The sequence below is a fragment of the Homo sapiens genome, chromosome 8 (assembly GCF_000001405.40).
Source record: "Homo sapiens chromosome 8, GRCh38.p14 Primary Assembly".
Lineage (NCBI taxonomy): Eukaryota > Metazoa > Chordata > Mammalia > Primates > Hominidae > Homo > Homo sapiens.
Window position 1 is genome coordinate 11,378,571 of NC_000008.11, and position 21,877 is coordinate 11,400,447.

Sequence of the window (21,877 nt, forward strand, 5' to 3'; positions counted from 1 at the left end):
TTCACAGCAAATATTAAGGAACTGAGAATGACCTCATGATTTTAAAAAATATAACACCTGTACCTCTCTTATCTGCAATAGAAATTTTAAAACACTGATTTTATTTTTCCCCTTTTTACTTAAAAATATGAATGCACATTTAAAATCTTGTTTCCCTTTCTTCATTGTATTCACCTGTGTGCCAGACGCTGTTATTGACTCCAGTGAGGGCAAATGCATATGGAATTTTACTAGATCCCAATATTCTTCCACAATTTTATTAAAGTAAAACCTCATATAATATGTCCATCTTATGTGTACAGATCAATGCACTTTTATAGATACCTGCATCTGCGTAACTGCTACCCAGGATCAAGAATACAGAATATGTCAGCTCCCAGCACTCTAATGCCCCGCCTCATCATTACCAACCCTGCCTCAGAGATAACTACTATCCTCACTTCTGTCACTATAGGTAAATTTTGTTATTTTGGAATTATAGATAAATTATAGTCCTTTTTTGGTATGTGGCTTCTTTTGCTCAACATTATATTTGTGAGATCCATTCATGTGATCTGTTCAGTCATAGTTTGCTCATTTTTACTGCTGTATAGTATTCCAGTATACGATGAAACCAACATTTTAGAAAATGCATTTTAACTTTGATGGACATTTGAGTTCTTCCCAGTTTGGGGCTGTTATGAATAGGAGTGCTATGAGCCTTCTTTTACTCATCTTTTGGTGAATACATTTGCATTTCTGCTGGGTATAGAGCTAGGGTCTGTAGCATACGCTGGGTAGTAGCATAAGTTCAGCTTTAGTATATCCTACTTAACAGTTCTTCAGCCATGTGTGGAGGTGCCTGCCTGTAGTCTCAGCTACTTGGGAAGCTGAGGCATGAGGATCGCTTGAGTCCAGGAATTCAGGGCTACAGTGTACTATGCCGATAGGGTGTCCACACTAAGTTTGGCACCAATATGGTGACCTTCCGGGAATGAGGGACCAACAGGTTGCCTAAAGTGGGTGGACCAGCCCAAGTTGAAAACAGAGCAGATCAAAACTCCCATGCTGATCAACAGTGAGTGATATTGTTTGGTTCTGTGTCTGCACCCAAATCTCATCTCGAAATGTAATCCCCACTTGTCAAGGGAGGGACATGGTAGGAAGTGATTGGATCATGAGGGTGGCTTCCTCCTGCTATTCTCGTGGTAGTGAGTTCTCATGAGATCTAATGGTTTCATAAGTGTTTGGCAGTCCTTCAATCTCCTGCTGTCTCCTGCTGCCTAGTGAAGAAGGTATTTGCTTCTCTTTTGCCTTCGCCGTGATTGTAAATTTCCTGAGGCCTCCCCAGCCATGAGGAACTATAAGTCAATTAAACCTCTTTTCTTTATAAATTACTCTGTTTGGGGTATGTCTTTATAATAGTCTGAAAACAAACTAATATAGTGGGATTTTACCTATAAATAGTCACTGCAATCCACCTGAGCAACATGGTGAGACCTCCATCTCCAAAAAACAAACAAACAAACAAAAAAACAAAACACCAATTCTTCATAAGTGGGACATCAGGGCTCCATGTCTTTGCCAATATTATGTATTGCTAGAGACTTTGGTTTTAGCCAATCAAGTGAGTGGGTGGTAGGATCTCACTGTGGTTTTTACTTCTTTGTTAAATTTCCATTGTGATACAATGCACACGAGTGCACAAATCTTATGGGCAGAGTTTTGTTAAATGTTTTTTGGAGCTTAATTTTTTTGTCACTTTAATAGACCTTATTTTTTTAAAGCAATTTTAGGTTCACAGCAATATAAAGTGGAAAGTATAGAGAATTCCCATATACCCCTTGCCTTCCCACATGCACAATCTCCCCTAAAACCAGCACCAGGCACCAGAGTGGTATATTTTTTACAACTCATGAACCTACATTGACTCACCATTATCACTCAAAATCCATAGTTTACATTAGCTTCACTCTTGATGAATGGGTTTTGACAAATGTATTATGACCTGTATCCACCACTACAGTATCACATAGAGGAGTTTCACTGCCCTAACATCCTCTGCATGTTTTTGCCTCTTCCAGATGTTATATAGGTGGAATCCTACATTATTTAGCCCTTTTCGATTGGATTCTTTCACTTAGTAATATGCATTGAAGGTCCCTCCATGTCTTTTCATGGCTTGATAACTCACTTTCTTTTAATGTTGAATATTATTCCCTTGTCTGGATGCACCACTGTTTATCCATTCACCTATGGAAGTGACATCTTGGTTGTTTCTGAGTTTGGGTAATTATGAATAAAGCTGCTATAAACATCTGTGTGCAGGTTTTTGTGTGGACATAAGTTTTCGAATCACTTGGGTAAATACCAATGCACATAATTGCTGGGTGATTGCTGGGTGGTATAAGAGTATGTTTAGTTTTCTAAGAAATTGCCAAACTCTTTTCCAAAGTGGTTGTACCATTTTGCATTCCTACCAGCAATGAATGAGAGGTCCTGTTGTTCTACATTCTTGCCAGCATTTGATGTTACCACCGTGCTGGGTTTTGGCCATGCTAATAGGGGTGTAGTGGTACCTCATTGTTGCTTTCATTTTCAGTTCCTGAGCCAGGCATGGTGGCTCATGCCTGTAATCCCAGCACTTTGGGAGGCCAAGACAAGTGGATCACCTGAGGTCAGGAGTTTGAGAGCAGCCTGGCCAACATGGTGAAACCCATACCTATTAAAAATACAAAAATTAGCCAGGTGTGGTAGCGGGCACCTGTAATCCCAGCTACTTGGGCGGATGAGGCTGGAGAATCTCTTGAACCTGGGAGGCAAAGCTTGCAGTGAACCGAGATGGCAACACTGCACTCCAGCCTGGATGGTGAAGTGAACACTGCACTCCACTCTGTCTAAAAAAATAAAAATTAATTGTCAGTTCCCTAAGTATACATTTTGTTGTGTATATTTTTGTTGTAATGTCATTCAGGTTTTTTGCCCATTTTTAAATCGAATTGTGTTTTCAAATTGGTGATTTTTAAGAGTTCATTGTACATTTTGAATAACAGTTCTTTATCAAAGATCCTTTAGCCAGTATTTTCTCTGAGTGTATGGCTTGTCTTCTCATTCTCTTGACATTGTCTTTCACAGAACAGAAATTTTTAATTTTAATAAAGTCCAGCTTATCAATGATTTCTTGGTGCTTAATACATTTTTACATACATATATCACATGCAACCACCATCCAGATCAAGATATAGAGTATTTCCAACATTGCAAAAGTTTGTCTTCTGCCCCTGCCTCCAAAGGTAAACCACCATTTTGGGACTTAACATCATGAATTAGTTTTGCCTGTTTTTGAGAGTCACATAAATGGAATCGTACAGTATGTACCAGTTTGTGTATGGCTTCTCTTGCTCAATATAATATACTTTTATTTTATTGTCAGATAATATTGCATTGTAAGGATATATCAAAATTCATTTGCCTTTAAATGGGCATTTGAGTTTCCTAGTTTGGGGCCATTATGAATAATAATGCTATGACCATCTTTGCACATGTCTTTTAATACACACATGCATTTATATGGGTATATACCAGTGTGTAGAATTGCTGGGACATAGGGAATGTGTGTGTATATAGAGCATTAGTAGACACAGGCACGCTGATTTCCAGCGTTGTTGTGTGAATTTACATTCCCATCAGCAGAGTTTGAGAGATCCAGTGGTTTCACATTCTTGCTAACACTTCATGTTTTCCTTTCTTTTTCATTTTAGTCATTCGGGGGTGGGGAGAGATGTATGGATATTGCATTGTGTTTTTAATTTTTTATATCCCTGATACAGTGGAACACTTTTTCATACATTTGTGAACCATTTTGGGATATGCTTTTTTCTTTCTTTTTTTTTTTAACTTTTTAAGTTCAGAGGTACATGTGCAGGTTTGTTGCATAGGTAAACTTGTGTCATGGGGGTTTGTTGTACAGATTATTTCATCACTCAGGTATTAAGCCTAGTACCTATTAGTTCTTTTTTCTGAACTTCTCCCTCCCCCATGCTTCACTCTCCAATAGACCCCACTGTGTAGTGCTCCCCTCTATGTGTCCATGTGTTCATATCTTTTAGCTCCCACTTATAAGTAAGAACATGCGGTATTTGGTTTTCTGTTCCTGTGTTAGTTTGCTAAGGATAATGGCCTCCAGCTCCATCCATGTTCTTGCAGAGGACATGACTTTGTTCTTTTTTATGGTGACATAGTATTCCACTGTGTGTATGTACCACATCTTCTTTATCCAGTGCACCATTGGTGGGCATTTGGGTTGATTCCATGTCTTTGCTATTGTGAATAGTGCTGCAATGAACACTCAGATGCATGTGTCTTTATGATAGAACAATTTATATTCCTTTGGTTATATACCCAGTAATGGGATTGCTGGGTTGAATGGTCGTTCTGTAGATATTTGAGGAATCGCCACACTGTCTTTCACAATGGTTGAACTAATTTATACTCCCACTAACATTGCATGAGCGTTTCTTTTTCTCTGCAACCTCGTCAGCACCTGTTATTTTTTGACTTTTTAATAATTGCCATTCTGATTGGTGTGGGATGGTATCTCATTGCGGTTTTGATTTGCGGATATGCTTTTTTCAGTAAAATGTCTGTTCAAGGATTTGCCTCCTTTTTTTTTTTTTTTTTTTTTTTTTTTGAGACAGAGTCTTGGTCTGTCACCCAGGCTGGAGTGCAGTGGTGTGATCTCGGCTCACTGCAACCTCTGCCTCCCGGGCTCAAGCGATCCTCCTGCCTCAGCCTCCTGAGTAGCTGGGATTACAGACATATGCCACCATGCCTGACTAACTTTTTTTGTATTTTTAGTAAAGATGGGGTTTCACCACGTTGGCCAGGCTGGTCTGGAACTCCGAACCTCAAGTGATCTGCCTGCCTTGGCCTCCCAAAGTGCTGGGATTACAGGCATTGCCTACTTTTTTATTGAGTTATCTATGTTTTTCTTATCATTTTTAGGAACTATTTAGATATTCTAAATGTAAGATCATCGTTAGATATATGTATTACAAATGTCTTCTCTTACTGCACAGATTGACTTTTTACTCTCAGTGAAACCTTTTGATTAGCAGAAATTCTTAAGTTTAACGAAGTCTAATTTATCACTTTCCCTTTGTGGTTAGGGCTTGTTGTGGCTTGTTTGAGAAATCTTCATTTATCCTCAATCATATAGATGATTTCTGTTGTCTATTAAATACTTTGTTGTTTCACCTTTCAGATTTAGACTTGCAATCTACCTGGAATTGATGTGAGTATGGTGTGAGACAGAACTTCAGGTTGACTTTTGGTTCTCTATGGATACCCATTAGACCCAGTAGATATAGAACCATATTCATGGCACCAGTGACTGAAGAGTCCACGCACTCCCCACTCTGCTGCAGTGTCACCGTGATCATAAATCAAGTGGGTAAGTGTGGATCTGGTCCTTGACTCTGCATTGTTTTATTAGTCTGTCTCTTCTTGCACTAATGCCATCTTAACTACTTTAGCTTTATCAAACGTCTTGAGATCGGGTAGACCAATCGTCCGACCTTGCTTTTGTTTTTTAAAAGTGTCCTGGCTAATCTTGGCCCTTTGAATTGACACAAGATTTTCAAAATCATCTGGTCAGTTACCTCAAAATATCTTCTGGAAGTTTTATTGGGATTGCATTAGAGCTATAGACCAATTTGGGGAGAAGTGACATCCTTACAACTGAACCTTTAAATTCAGAAATAAGGCATGTCTCTTAATTTCTTTAGGTTTTCTGGAATTTTTCTCAATAATATTTTCTTGCTTTCTGTACAGAGAGTACTTCTACATCTCTTGTTAGATTTATTCCTAAGTATTCAGTTTTTTTTCAAAGCAATTTAAAAAGTATCCCTAAACATTTTTACTTTTTTTCCCTCTTTTTTAATGGGACTAGAGTTGACTTTTGTAATTGGTCTTTCTAAATTACTTAGAAAAAACAATTCCTTTTTATCATTTATTTATAGATTCATTTGGATTTTTTACAAAACATATTACTTGTGAATCTTGACAGTTTTATTTCTTCCTTTCCAATCCTTATGCCTTTTGTTTTTCTATCTTGCATTTTGGTACTGGGTAGGACTTTGAACATGTGGTGGAATGGAAGAGATATTCACAAGCATATTTACGTGTTTCTATCTTATGAGGAAGTCTTTCAATCTATCACTATTAAGTATAATATTTGCCATAGGCTTTTCATAGTTATTGTTGATTAGATTCAGGAAGGTGCCTTCTATTTCTGGTTTGCTATAAGTGTCAATTCTCTCCAAATTGATAAGCAGATTTAACACAATTCCTATTAAAATTTCAGCAAGTTATTTTGAAGATAAAGTCAAGATTATTCTAAAATTATACGGAAAGGCACAGGAAGAAATTAGAATAGCTGAAACAGTTTTGAAAAAGAAGAATGAAGTAGGACAAAGTGGTCTATTTGATTTCAAGACTTACTCTGTAGCTACAGTAACCAAGATTGTGTGCTATTGGCAGAGAGATAGACACATAGATCCAAGGAACAGAATAGGCAACATAGAAACACACTCCTACGTATATTCTCAAATCATTTTTTACAAGGATGCAAAGGCTATCTGATGGAGAAAAGTAGCCTTTTCAACAAATGGTGCTGGGAGCAATTGGACATCCACAGGCAATAAATAAATAAATAAAACAAAAACAAACCTTTAAGTCTCATACTTTATGCAAAAGTCAATTCATAATGGATTATGAACTTGAAACATGAAACTAAAACTTTTAGAAAAAAATTGGAGAAAATCTTCAGGAACTATGGCTATGAAAAGTGTTCTTAGATTTGACACTAAAAGTATGACCTCTAAAATGATACATTGTACTTTTTCAAAATTAAAAACTTTTACTTTGCAAGTGACTCTGTTATGAAGATGAAAAGATAAGCTACAGATTGGAAGAAAATATTTGCAAATCACATACCTGCCAAAGGACTAACATCTAGGAAAGATAAAGAACTCTCAAAACTCAATAGTAAAAAATCTCAAAAAATTCAAATTGAAAGCAAGCAAAAGACATGAAGAAGTGACTTCACCAAAGAAGATATACAGATCGCAAATAAGTACAGGGAGAATATTCAACATCATTACCCATTAGGAAAATGCAAATTAAAGCCACATTTAATATCATTATATACCTATCAGAATCACTAAAATAAAAAAAAAAATGACAGTCCCAAATGCTAGTGAGGATGCATAGAACCTGGATAATTTATACACTGCTGGCAAAAAGGTAAAATATTAATACCACAGCCACTTTGGCATACAATTTGGCAGTTGCTTAAAAGACAAAACATGCAACTACCATACAACTCAGCAATTGCTCATATAAACTGAATATTTCTAAAATTCCCAGAAAATAAGAAAATTGAATTTCTAATACCAATTCAGAAACCAAGTTCACATAATTAAGATTAATCTTTGGCAAACTAGACTAGTTTAATAATTTTGATTCAGGCTGTGTGGGGGCTAACGCCTGTAATCCCAGCACTTTGGGAGGCCAAGGCGGGTGGATCATCTGAGGTCAGGAGTTGGAGACCAGCCTGGCCAACATGGTGAAACCCTGTATCTATTACAAATACAAAAATTAGCCAGGCGTGGTGGTGCGCACCTGTAATCCCAGTTACTCGGGAGGCTGAGGCAGGAGAATCACTTGAACCCAGGAGGCGGAGGTTGCAGTGAGCTGAGGTCGTGCCACTGCACTCCAGCCTGTGTAACAGAGCAAGACTCTGTCTCAAAATATTATTAATAATAATTTTGATTAAAAAATTGCCACGTTACTTCTCCTATTTATCGATGTATATAACACAAGCATGCATTTTATTTGGTTTGTCTTTCCTAAACTCGTACAAGCTTACTCATCAAATAAGCGATTACTTAATGTTACATAATGTTGAGGATCATTAAACCAGGAAATTTGTGCTCAACTAAATTCATTCGTTATGGTGACAAACTTTTTCTTTCAACAGCAATTATATTTTGTAGCTGGAAGATACTTTTCTAGGTGTTTAGATGACTTAGAATTTGGGGCTGATATTAAGTTGAGTTAATGGATAATCACTGTATAGTTAGATGACCTCTAAATACTATCAAATGACAAAACATTGATTATGCAACATAATTTTAGGTTTATATGCAATTGCTTTTTATTTGTTGTGCTTTAGAGAGGCTGTATCTTGGGATCAGATGCATGACTGCTCATTTTTGAACTTTCAGAAGGCGTAAAAGGAATGTGTGTGGCTATAGAAGGTTGGTTATGAACTTTGCTATTCTGCTGAAATCTTTGTCTAAGATAAACAGTTCTCACTTCTCTACCCACCATTTTTCTCTGTGAAGTAGAAGACATTTTGGCTAGTAATGAAAATTAATATGGTTAAGATAAATCTGTATGAGTTAAAAAAATTAATATGGTAGTTGGAGCTATGCAAGGAGCAATAGTGAGAGAGAAACCCAACTGTGCCTGAGCTTTTGTTTTTCAAGGAAAAAGCATTTCTTTTGCTAAAGCAGTAATTATCAAACGTTTTGGGAGAGGCTTCCGTTCACAAAGGAGGAGCTCCCCATGTTTCTCATGGGAACTTGTCCAAGCGTATCTCTTACATAGCAAATCCCATCTTGCCACCCCTGCTCAGAGGCCCCAGATCCACATGCACCTTTCTTCCCAAGAAAGAAGACCTGTTGTCATTGTTTGCACACCTGCCGCCCATTGGACTGGATGCTCTCCTGATAGCCCTGTTTGCTCACCTCCATTCAAAACACATTTTCATTACTGAACCAGATGCCAGGAAAACAAGCATTTCATCTTCTATGAAAATTGTGTAGGGTCGTATTGGTTTTAGAGGATTGTTGTGAGACAGAAATGAAACAGTGCCAGTGAAACAGAGCAGATGTACATCAGTGTGGGTCCATTTGAAGTCTGGATGGACGGAGTGGCACCCCAGCCTCCTCAAGGAAGCCAGGACCCAAGAGTTGCCTTTCACTTTTGCCTCTCAAGGAACCTGATATAACCAACATGAAAAAAACACACTCAGAGCTCAAGAGGGCTGGCCCTTCCCAGGACAGATGCTGCAGAGACTGGATGCATTTTTTCCTGCCCAACCAACCTTGGCGACAGGTTGCTGGGCTCTCATTCATGAAGCTACCTGCCTGGGGAAATGAGTCAATCCAGTTATTAGCTCACCAAGGGCTTTTATTCTTGACAAGGTACTGATACCCTATCTACCTCCACTGCTTGGGAATAGCTGACTTGGACTTAAGTCTGTGGGAATCAAGATATCAGAATACCTAGAGAAGCTGGAGAAATGCACTCCCAACAAATGCCACCTCAGTGTCTGTCACAGCAGCCGTCTTTGAAAGTTGTCCGGCATCCTGACGGCCATGCACAGATTCCATCATGGTGCTTTAAAATTATTTACTAAAACCCACAGAGAAAAGAGGTAAGAAGATACTTCCATGTTATTCCCAAAGCTTCTTGTGAATAATCTTACTGAACCCCCACCGTGATCTTCCCCAGCTGGGTGATCAAGCCAGGACCACCTGAAAATGCTCTCCTAATGCCTGAGTCTATTGTTCAGGGACGTGGTGTCCTTTCTTCATTCCCTGGGCACTCTTAGAGAGATCATGCACCCTGCCTTTCTCTCCTCCTCAGTGTCGAACCTCAGGTAACATTTCTCCCAATTCCCACTCCTCTTCCTCCAGGGAATCAAAGGCCTTTTGCCAACTTTTAAAATCCAAACGCCCAACTGCACACTAGATGTTACATTTTTTTTTTTTTAGAGGAGAGGGTGCTGTCTTTTCATCAGATTCTCAAAGGGTCCCCTTCCACCCCAAAGGATAAAGAACCACGATGCTAAAGGATGTCCACCTAAAGGGCGACAGCTCTAGTGTGAGGGTACAAGCTTGCCATCTCACTCCCACCACCTGCCCAGGGCAGCAGGCCTGAGAGCAGGGCAGTCTTTGACAAGCCAGCAGTGCTCGTGCCAGAGGAAAACAGGGTGGGTCGTGCACCTGTGCTGGAGCAGTTACAGGCCCCACTTAGCTTATCGGCCGGCCGCTCTGCTCGGGTCTTGAGGCTCAGACCTTGTGAGCTGATAGCATCCTCCCTCTTTCCAGAGTCAACACAGCCATGGGCCCGGGAAGCTGGCAGCCATTCTCAGGAAGGGGGTCGAATGCCATGTTATCACCGGGCTGGCAGTTGTGTAGCCTTCGCCGGGACGGGCCCCTTTGGCTTGTTCTCCTTATCTTCTCTCCTCTCAAGGCCCTGCAGTGGTTATTGAGGGCAGCGGATCCAAGGGCATAATCTCCCTCCTGCCTCAGGCTCCCTGAGATCTGTAGCGAACATCCACCGTTCCTCAATGTTCCTCACCCTTCTTCAGTCTGATGTCTTAGTCCCCCAGACATTTCTTATTCATCACTGGTAGGGAGCGTTGCAGGGCCCCTGTGCCTCTAGAACCATAGGCATGGGCGAGAATGCAGACTCAGCACCTGCGGAGGGGGCTTTGGACCTGTGTCTGGCAAACATCCTTGGATTGTGACAGGGTGGGCTGAACTGCTGGGTAAGAGATGGAGACCAGCTGAGCATCGCAGGTTCGGGTATTCTATGTGGTGCCAACACCACGGAGGTCTTCAGTCCTGTGTGAGCAGAGCTTAAAGGGAAATGTCACGTTAGGGAGAGCTGCAAGGTTTCCTGCCACACACTACCAGGAGAAAGAAGCCACTTGTGTATGTGGGTACGACTAGAAAGGTGAGCCGCAGGACTAGAAGTGGTGGAATGCATTCTGGAAGGCCCATCAGGCCAGATGGGCAAGTTATCCTGGAAGTGATTGACAGCAAAATCACACCCAGGAAACTCAGAGACCTAAAGACGGCCCCGCTTCTCATTCTATGTAAAACCCGTTTCAGAAGAGAGAGAGGGAGGCCACGCTGATTATTCTTGGAAAAGGTCAGCTTGGGTGGCACCTGTTCAGACTGGATGAGGGCAGGTGCGATGGATGTGACTCAGCTCCCGACCGGCAGTATCCCAGGGAGCAGGGACAAGCAGGTCCTCAGCTCTGGTCAGAAAGCAGAGGACCCTGGACCCCAAGTGGTCTGCTGCTTTGCCTGACAACCCTGCCCATAAACTGCTTGTGAGCAGAACAAGCGAGCAAGTGTTCACCCCCTGGCATTCACAGGCACTGGTTCAAGTGGGGCAGATTTTGAAGTACGGGCTGCCAGGGCCTCAGAGGCAGGAACTTCTGCCCATTGCTGTGCTGCTGCAGCTCACAGCAGGCTGTACCCACACAGAGAACATACTCCTGGGGCTCAGGTGGGGGAACAAGGGAGGGGTCAATGTGATGAACAATTCTGGCTGAGAGAGAAGCAGGGATGGGTGGGAGGAGGATGGAGAGAGAGAGAGATGAAGGTAGGGCACCCTCTCGGAGACACAGGGCGGGCTTGTGCTCCGAGGACTCAGCTCAGAATTCAGCCCCATCTCCAGGTCACCTCAAAGCCCTAATGTTGCTGGGCTCCCCTCAGTGACACTTGCCTTCTCAGTCTCACCAGGCTATTCTGATGGCTTCTACTAATGCCCTCTGTCCTTCTGGCAGAATGTGTGGCCAGTGAGTGTCCTGGAGGGGAGGGTGAGAGTCTCCATCCAGAACTTCTCGACTGCAGAGCTGTGAACACGGAATGAGTGTGTGAGGTACGGAGGTCCTCGGCCCCAGGGGACCCCAGGTGCGCTCACAGCCTCAGGGGCGGCGGCCTTCTGCATCGCGGCATGTGGCACGCAGAGTGTCATGTGCTGTGTGTGCCACACGGTGAAACAGGTGGAGACACTGACAACAGGCTTAACTGGGAAGCTGTGCCCCAAAAGGAGCTTCAAAGAAGAGCCCCCTCCACATCCTCAGGAGAAGGACTCTTGGTTGGAAAAGGCCTGGAAGTGACCAGTATCTATGGTGCTTCGTCTCTTTCTCAGGCCCATAAGGACAGAATTTACATTTGAAAAGAAGAACAACACAGAAACTTTTGCAAAGGGCTGCCAATACTTTTTCTCTGAGGAACGTGCAATGTGATGAACAAAATTTTTTCCCAGAAAGCCAGAGGCTGGGCAAAGGCAGAGGGGCCTGGAGGCTGCTCCCAGGTAGGGAAACTTCTGGAGCAGGGACTTGACTCCACCTCCCAGGGGGACCGCATGTCCAGAGTGTGCACTTCTGGGAAGGCTGCAGAGCTGAGAGAAGCTGGTCAGATGCCCGATGCCCTAACCCTGAGATGGAGCTGCTCCCTGCCATCTCCTCCCACCTTTAGTGATGTTTTCAGAGCCTTAAGCTCTTGTGCAGTCTGGGCAGAAGCTGAGCCTTGTGTCTGATCTATACTGGCAGGAAGGAGGCAGCCCCTCCGGGTGAGGGGCCTCCAGGCTGCGGCTGGCTCTGGCGAGGATGGTGGTGAGAGGCCCATCTATTTCCTCAACCTTAGCTGACCTACCGTAAAGCAGGGAAAGCCTGGTGATGGGGTGGGTCACATTTATTCCAATTCTGTCTCCCCTCTTGCATCAGCTTACCCAGGAGCTTGTTAGAAAAGCAGCCTCCCAGACCCCACCCAGACCTGCTGGGTCAGAAAGAATGAGAACCCCCGGGCAATGCATGTGTGCAGACAAGTTTGAGAAACGCTGCTGCTCTAGATACTAGGTTAGCAAAGCACGGCCAAAGTGTGGGCAGGGGAGCCGCACAGTCCTGGTTTCAAATTCTGACCCACCACTCCCACCCACAGGACCCACTCCATGTTTCTCAGCTTCTCTGAGCCTCAGTTTCCTCCTTTGCAAAATGAGGACAATTATAGCACCCACTCTTTAGAACTGGGGAAGGACTAAAGTGTCCAAAGCATGGGCAGTGCCTGGCCCATGGGAGGCGCTGGGGGTGACCGTCCTCCTTCTGGAACTCCTTCCTGACAAGTCGTCTGGAGTGAGGCTGAGGAATGGGTGTTTTCAGAAACTTCAGCTACCTCTGATGCAAGTCCAGGTGATACTATCCCCTGTCATTTACAGTACCTGACCCTGGAATTGTACCCAGGGCACCCTCGTGCACTGGGATACGACTGATGCAGGTTGGAAGGCAGAGCTCCCTGCAGTGGGAGAAGGATGGCAGGGAGCAATGGTCCGGGTCTCAGAAGCGTAAGGGAGATGGGTTTGCTGCTGGAAGCCATTGGTGCATTCTCAGCTGCGGCACAGCCTGACAGCCACAGCTCACAGAAGGGAAAGGGGAGTGAAAGGGGAGGTGGCGGTTTTAGAATAGCCATCTTAGGAGCTTGGCTGGGAAAGGACAGTTATTTGAAATAACAGAGAATCAGGGAGATTCTTCAGAAAGGAGAGAACTGAGATGGTGTTAAAGTAGGGAACGCTATCCTTATCAGGGGAAGAATAATTTCCCCTGAATAACTAAATGTGGGTTTTTGTTGTTGTTGTTTGTTTGTTTGAGATGGAGTTTCAATCTGTTGCCCAGGCTGGAGTGCAGTGGTGCAATCTTGTCTCACTGCAACCTCCACCTCCCGGATTCAAGCGATTCTCCTACCTCAGCCTCCCAAGTAGCTGGGATTATAGGCATGTGCCACCGCACCTGGCTAATTTTTGTATTTTTAGTAGAGAGGCGGTTTCACCATGTTGGCCAGGCTGGTCTCGAACTCCTGACCTCAGGTGATCCACCTGCATTGGCCTCTTAGAGTACTGGGATTACAGGCATGAGCCACCGTCCCCAGCCTGAATAACTAAATGTTTTTCAGCATCTAACATTTTCTTCTACAGGTTTGCTTTAAAAAAAAAATAAGAAAGAAAGAAACACTTCATGAATTTACATGTCATCCTTGTGCAGGTGCCATGCTAATCTTCTCTGTATCGTGCCAATTTTAGTATATGTGCTGCCAAAGCGAGCACCAGATTTGCTTTTTTATAAGTGTTTTTTAAAGAAATGGTATAATGAAACATACATATAGAAAGTGCATAAAACAAAAATGGACAGTTTCACAAATAGTTGTAAGGCAAAGTCCTGTGTAGCCCCTAACTAGCTTAAGAAGCAGAACCTTGCCAGCACGCAGAAGCATCTACAAATCTTGCAGGAGGCAGCACAGGCGCACCATTGACTTTAAGCTTTGCACCTGTCCTGTGAGGTGGGCATGCTTTTTCCTATTTTATATATGAGGACACCAGGATGCAGGTGGGCCACATGGCTCCCCCAGGGCCACACAGCTAGTGGGCAGTAGAGCGAGAATGAAACCCAGGCGTGTTGGAGCCTGACAGCACTAGCGCTGTTTCTGCAGGTGCTAAGGGGGAGGCTTGGCCACAGGGGTGGGCGGCAGGGCTGGAGGGCCAGCCTGGACGGTGGACAGGGAGAGAATGGACTCGGGGATTGAGGTCACCCTGCTGGGCAGGGAACGTGGGAGGAGAGACACAGAGCAGGTACTCTGAGGTGAAGAGGAAGCCTGCTCTGCTCCCCAAGAGTCCCTCCTCACCATGCCTTCCCCTCACTTCTCCCTGACAGTGTCAGGAGAGTCCGTCGTTCAGCTAAAGCTTGGGAGAGGGCGCCCTTGATTCCTCCGATTAGACAAAGAGGACCTTGGCAGGCAGGTCTGGGGACTTGCTAGTGCTGGGTCACTGAGGAGTGTCCTTTAAGGCGATGGGAGCCGAGGGGAAGACGGAATTACTCCCAGAGAGAAGGCTCCCAGCTACGCTAGCTCACAGCCCTCAAGTCCACTGCTATACTGGGTGGCCTGAGGACTTGTGCCAAGTTCCAAGTGAGATAAGACAGAAAACAAGTCACTGGTCAAGGACAGGTCAAGGTAAAGCCAGCCAGAAGAGTTATCATTCCAAGAAGTTCACAAGGCCATTATACAGCCTTTGGAACGAGACATTTCTGCTTTTCCATAAGCAGCTGGGAATTTCTGAGACCTGTTTACAGAGAATTAGAACTTCTAATAAAGGATATGTGACCAATATCACTTTCACCCTTGGCCTCCATCTGCCCTGTTCCCACACCTCCCTAGGTAAACTTTATTCTAGTTTCTCATGCATCTTTTCAGAGCTTTAAAAGTGCATATCTGAGCAAATCAAACACTAGATTTGTATTTCCGCTCCATGACAAGTTTAACAATCTAGAAGTTGGGTCGGTGGATTGTCTCCTACACCACCGAACCTGTCTCTGAGTCCCAAGCATCAGTCAGTCTAGCTAAACTGTCAACAGTTGCATCTTATTTCGGGCAGCAGTGTTACAGGTGGGCTGCCACCAAAGTTAGACATCCATATGGCGCGAGTATTTCACGAGAGGCATTTCTATGAGAACAAAAGAAAAACCAATGTTAGTAATTAGAATAAACTAGAAACTCGGTTTTTAAGCTCAGAAAGCAGCCAGGTGAGAAGATTTCTGGGTTTTGGCTGAAAGCATCTTCAGCTGGGGTGGGAGCAGGCCGTGGCAGTTTGACAGGTTTCCCCACTTTACAGTTTGCATCAGGTGTTCCAGGGGCGTTTCTGAGTAGTCCATATAGCAGCAGGCGTGAGGACCACGCATACATAAGTTGCTGTGCTTTCTCTACGGCTTGTGTCAAGTCATCCAGTTTTCGTTCGCAGGGCTTCAGGAATAGAGCAGTTCTCATTTCAGTGATTCCAAACCAGAAGGGTGGGAGAAAAATATTAGTTTGGAGACCTGTAGCCAGACATTTCTGGAAACGAGAAGAATTCAGGATCCAGTCCAGATTGTAGGTGAGTAACAAAAACCTCAAAAACAATGAGCTGGAATCTAATAACGAGTGCATATAGTTTTCTTCTGAAATATTTTTCTTTCTATAGTCATTTCCATTTCTACCAAAGATTATCAAAGTAAGACTAATTTGTTCGCAAAGTAATGTTTGCAAAAGTAATGATTATTTGTGCAAGTGCCGCAACAATAGTGATTGACTATATAGGCTTTTTCAAAATTTGCTTTACTGGAACTTTTGATAAGGAACCTCAAGTTAGACTTTTAATAGCCTCTTGAGGCCAGAAGCCAGGCCACTAACTTGCCATCAGACTTTGCCTGCAATACCTACAGATCTGGGTGAATTCCTTTCTTCTCAGGATCCCCCAAATATTCTACAGTTCCTGGGCCTGTCAGAAAGTGACATTACTTACTCACTTGTAAGGTTAGAAACTCTTTTAAGCCAGGCCAGTTTTTCCAATGGGGGCTTTACTGGTTCCAGTAAAGTAAATAAACTTTACTGGTTTTAGTTCCTTAAAACTGTCTGGTCATGTCTGAAAATATAATATTCCAGTCAAAGCCTTGGTCATATAATCAGTGTTTCCACTTTTGTCCTGTTTCAAGGAGAATATACTTACTAAACTTGTGCAAGTAACTACAATTGTCATAAAAATAAGAGTACTCATAAATAGTTTCTAAATTCTGGAGGGATCAGGGAGGAAGAAAAAAAACGAAATGTTCTAATTTTGTTAACGATATACTAAATTGCTGTAAGTTATAGGTAGCTTAAAAGAAAAAAAGCTTTCCTTAAATCTGGAAAACAAAATATTTAAAGAAGAAACGTTTCAAATAAAAGTCATAAAAATTATCCCCTTCATTTCATGTAGTCTCATGTAGTTGATATTCTTGATCTTGGTTAGCAGTTTCATGAAACCACCAGTTTCTTCATAAGAGTTCTAGAAATTTGTACCCCATCCAATGGTGTGATCTTAAAGTTATCAGAAACCTTTATTGCAGAGTAGAGCCTTTTTTATGAATCTCCTTGAAGAAGCAATTTTGGGCTGTAGCTGATTACAAATGCTTTCAGAGAAGAATCAAAGTAAAACAATAACTGCCTGTGGATGAAAAAAGACATTCAATGGCCATGGTTAAAGATTTGATGAGAGTTCACCATCATAATGATGAAATTGTCAAAGAAATGTGGTTATTTCTGTGGCATATTGCATTTTAATACAATAACTAAAATTATGACTGATAGCATTATACTAGGACATATCAGATTTCTAGGAATTATGTATAATTTCTGGAACACTTGTATCAATATCATATCCACAAACATAACATAAAGGTTTAGCATCACCTATTATTTGATGATGTTTCTCATATAATTTAACATATCCTGTAAGCCTAATTAGTTTAATCGCTCTTTTTTACAAGGTGAGAGACAAATCCTATGGAACTTTCCAGAGGCCTTCTGAAATGTTCCAAAATTAGTTTGAGGTCAAAAACATTTAATTTATAATTTGATTTGGTTCGGAAGTTGTTAAAGACGTTGAAAGGTTTAGGACATTTGTTTGAAGAGAATCACAGATCACTATAAAACAATACCAAAATGACAAAAAATTGTAAAGACAAATACAGAAGGTTACAGAATTGTAAAAAATAAATCAGCTCCTTTATTATTGAGAAGACTCATTTTTCTTTTCTTCTTTTTTTTTTTTTTTTTTTTTTTTTTTTTTTTTTTTTTTTTTTTGAGACAGGATCTCATTTCATCACCTAGTCTGGAGTGCACTAGCATGATCGTGGCTCACTACAGCTTTGACCTCCTTGGGCTCAGCTGATCCTCCCCTCTCAGCCTCCTGAGTAACAGGGACTACAGGCACATACCACCACACCTGGCTATTTTTTTCTATTTTTTGTAGAGATGACGTTTTGCCATGTTGCCCAGGCTGGTCTTGAACTCCTGACCTCAAGCAATCCGCCCACCTTGGCCTCCCGAAGTGCTGAGATTACAGGCGTGAGCCACTGCACCTGGCCTTGCTTTTCTTAAGTAATCAAAGACCTGATAGAAAACAACGTGAAGCACAAGAAATCATTTTTGTAAAAAAATCTTTGTGTCCTAGTACAGTAACTTAAACGATAAAGAAAAATCTTCACATTCTCAGACTGATACAGTAAGAAAACTTGGCCATTTTGACAAAGAGGACGAAATTCTAGTTTTGCATCATCGTATTAGTAATATGGAAGCTAATTGTAAGAAAACCTTATAAATAAAATTAAGCTCATTTTAGCCAGCTTTGACCACATAACATTTTCCCCCAAAGATTCTTTTTCCACAACCCTTTTAAAATATTTTTAAAAATTGATCTTTATTTATCTTCCTGCATTTTTCTTTTTCTTATTCTGGAACAACTGCTCATCATAGTTTCGTACAGAATTAACTACTCCTTTTTCCATTAACAGAAAATACAGTTTCATGCCTTACAATTTTCCTTACCAAAAATACATCTTGCTTTCCTCGTGTATTTTGCATACAGGATTGTTTCCCTTATTATTTCTAGTAGTTTTAATTACATATATTAATTAGAATTTTAATCTTCAGCAATTGTAGTTTATCACATTCCATAGATTAAAGCCATAATTTCTAAAAATCATGTGCTTCTCCATAGTACAATTTTTCATGTCTATTAACAGATCCAAATTTTGTCTTCTCTATACCATATAAAAAACAAAATGCCAATGTATATAAACTTAAATTTATGCTTAGTAATTAATGTTTCAATGTTTTAAGTGACTTAGAAATGACTCAGATATGGCCAGGCACGGTGGCTCACACCTGTTATCCCAGCACTTTGGGAGGCCCAGGCGGGTGGATCATGAGGTCAGGAGTTTGAGACCACCCTGACCAACATGGTGAAACCCCGTGTCTACTAAAAGTACAAAAATTAGCTGGGTGTGGTAGCGCACACCTATAATCTCAGCTACTCAGGAGGCTGAGGCAGGAGAATCACTTGAACCCAGAAGGCAGAGGTTGTAGTGAGCCGAGATCGCATTATTGCACTCCAGCTTGGGCAACAGTGAGACTCAGTCTCGGGGGGAAAAAAAAAGAAAAAGAAATGACTCAGATATGTAATGAGTATTTATTACTTAATTTAATTTAGCATAGCTTTAAGGTTGCAAGTTACCAAAAAAGTTTTCTGAAACTATTTTTAAGTAGACCTGTTTTATAAAACATAATTATTATTGAAAAGTTCATGTATATACTTTTAGGTCACTTGTACATTATTTAATTCACGTGTTTTTAACAATTATTCTTGGATGTCTCATGGGCATTTTTTATAAGAACTTAAAGCCATCATCTTATTTCATTTTTGTTTACAAATCAGGTATCAAAAATATCACAGAGGCAAAGAACTAAAAAGCTAAACAATTCATTCTCTATCTATCTATCTATCTATCTATCTATCTATCTATCTATCTATCTATCTATGTTTTTACTTTCATGAATGATATGTGTCAAGCAATTTATTTTTACTGTGTGTTCTGCTCTTAGGTTGGGTTTTTAGTTTTATGTTTTTAAACGTCAAGCAGGGAAAACACAAACCTGTGTGGCCAGCAAACTCAGGGAAAAATGTGTATCTGAATTATATTTCACACTTACAATTCTGAAGATACCCCTACTTTTATTTTACCAATAATTTAAAAGCTAGCTTTATTTACCAAAGACTTAGCCAAGTCATGTGATTTTTTAAAAAAAAAATTTGGATGAGAGTCTATGTCTGAGAGTTTTAGGAATGCCTAATTTATCTGAGCACTCGTTTATCTCTAAGCCAATTTGAATAGAGCTCCTTTAAGGGTTTTATAAATTAATTTAGTAACACTATCCGGAGGTGGAAAAATATTAAATATACATAATATACAAATATACATACATAAACTTACAGACAAATACAGCTTTCATTCTAACATTTAGTCACAAGTCAGTAAAACATAGTAGTACAAACTCATTGATTTATTTCCAATTTATATTTTTGTCCGAATTGTGTTTCTGACAAAGATGGGAGAAGTTAAGTTTACCTGCTTACATGGCAAGAGCTTTTTTACCAACGTTTGTGGAAAAGACTTGAGATTTTTATTTGCCCAATTCCCAAATAGTTCCTTTAAAAAACATGACAGTCATTTCCCTGAAGTTTGTATTTCCAAATGATAGTTCTCAGGTTTTAGAGAAGACAGGATAGGGAATCATCTCAAAGGCACAGAAAAATAATGCAAGGGTTTTTTTTTTTTCTTCCAAAAAAGGAATTTGGGAGCGTATTTGCCTATTTTCAGAGGTTTTTCTTATAGAGGCTGTGGACTAAATTTTAGGCTAGTGACTGAGGAGATATTTAGCAGTTGTCTAAATGTTTCCAAAGTCCAAATGAGTGGACGAAACATCCATTTCTTGTTTCCCAGTAACCATTTCTCCTCTTTTCAGCCTCAGGTTTTTTTTTTTTTTTTTTTTTTTTTGGAGACGGAGTCTCGCTCTGTCGCCCAGGATGGAGTGCAGTGGTGCCATCTCAGCTCACTGCAAGCTCCGCCTCCCGAGTTCATGCCATTCTCCTGTCTCAGCCTCCCGAGTAGCTGGGACTACAGGAGGGTGTCACCGCGCCTGGCTAATTTTTTGTATTTTTAGTAGAGACGAGGTTTCACTGTGGTCTCGATCTCCTGACCTTGTGATCCGCCCGCCTTGGCCTCCCAAAGTGCTGGGATTACAGGCGTGAGCCACCTCGCCCGGCCAGCCTCAGGTTTTTTAGTCGACCTGGAGTCCAGCAAGAGTCCTCTATGGAGGGTAGTGGCCTAAAGTTCCAGTGATCACGGGGCTGGAGTTGGAGGGAAAAGGTCTGGCAGGGGTGGACAGAAGGATGGAGGGTGAGGAACGTGATCAGGTATCAAGGGTGGCAGTTCTTGTTAAACTGACTTGCCAGGGTTCTTGTTAAAACTGGATTTGTTGCGTTTTCCTCTAATTTTATCTTGAGGTTTCTCTAGATATAAATTCTAGCCCTGCCCTGATGGGTCTCCAGGGGAGGGGGTGGTGGGTTTTTACAGTCTGCCTTTCATGGGATACTTATTTATTCTGGCAGATGGCTTAATGCCTAAGTATTCCACCTGTGGCCAAGGGTCCCTCTCACAGCAAATTTGTTTATACTAGCAGACATTCTTGTGGCTCTCAGCTGACCTATATCCAGTTTATCCCCACCAAAATAAACAGTTTGCAGAAGAGCCCTGGCCAGTAAGAGAGTCTGGGTCAGTCAGATGAGACACAGAAGAAGATTCAAAATAGATGGTAAAGCCAGGTACAGTGAAGCACGCTTGTAGTCCCAGCTACTTGGGAGGCTGAAGTGGGAGAGCATTGTTTGAGCTCAGGAATTTTGGGGCCAGCCTAGCAGGAGACCACATCACTTAAAAAAACAAAACAAAACAAAAACACAAAAAACGCCAAAAAAGGATAATGAAGCAACATACAACTTACTACAGGATTTTATAACATAAAATAGTAATTCACTACAGGATATTTTTTTTTAATAAGAAAGTACACAGATGAGCCTTGGAGAAGGTTCAGAAGCTCAACTAAAGTTTGGCCATAGAAACCAGAGTCCAGCATACCCCTGACATTTTCTCGCAGTAATTTTCTATTCATTGACCACCAAATGTAGGAAGTCAAGGCTTGAAGGAGATATATCAAGGATTCAAGGTAACTGGATGAAAGATCAAAGGTGGCACAAGGAGGAAGGAGGAGTAGAAGTAAATGGAAAGAATAGGTCTTAGAGGAGCAAGTTTGGGGAGATCTAAAGCTTCATAAAGAAGCCAACGAAGTTCCATAATATTGTTTGCAAAAATCATGCCAAAAAGAAAGGAAATGGTGGCTCAGGCCTGTCATCCCAGCACTTTTGGAGGCTGAGGTGGGTGGGTGGATCACTTTAGCCCAGGAGTTTGAGACCAGTCTGGGCAACATAATAAAACCCCATCTCTAAAATCTTTTTAAAAAAATATTAACTGGGTGTGGTGGCACACACCTGTGGTCCCAGCTACTCAGAAGGCTGAGGTGGGAGGATTGCTTGAACCCAGGAGGTCAAGGCTTCAGTGAGCCAAGATTGTGCC

At 41.6% G+C, this 21,877-nt stretch overlaps 1 long non-coding RNA gene and 2 pseudogenes across 1 annotated transcript in view; 2 read left to right on the top strand and 1 right to left on the bottom strand.

Moving 5' to 3' along the window:
* Positions 1-21,877, top strand: part of FAM167A-AS1 (FAM167A antisense RNA 1) — a 70,256-nt gene that overhangs the window by 10,169 nt on the left and 38,210 nt on the right. The window contains exon 2 of the long non-coding RNA NR_026814.1: positions 5,243-5,431. This is a non-coding gene — a long non-coding RNA (FAM167A antisense RNA 1). The remainder of the gene's footprint in view (positions 1-5,242; positions 5,432-21,877) is intronic.
* Positions 825-1,105, top strand: RN7SL293P (RNA, 7SL, cytoplasmic 293, pseudogene; annotated as a pseudogene).
* RNU6-1084P (RNA, U6 small nuclear 1084, pseudogene) lies at positions 13,841-13,947 on the bottom strand (annotated as a pseudogene).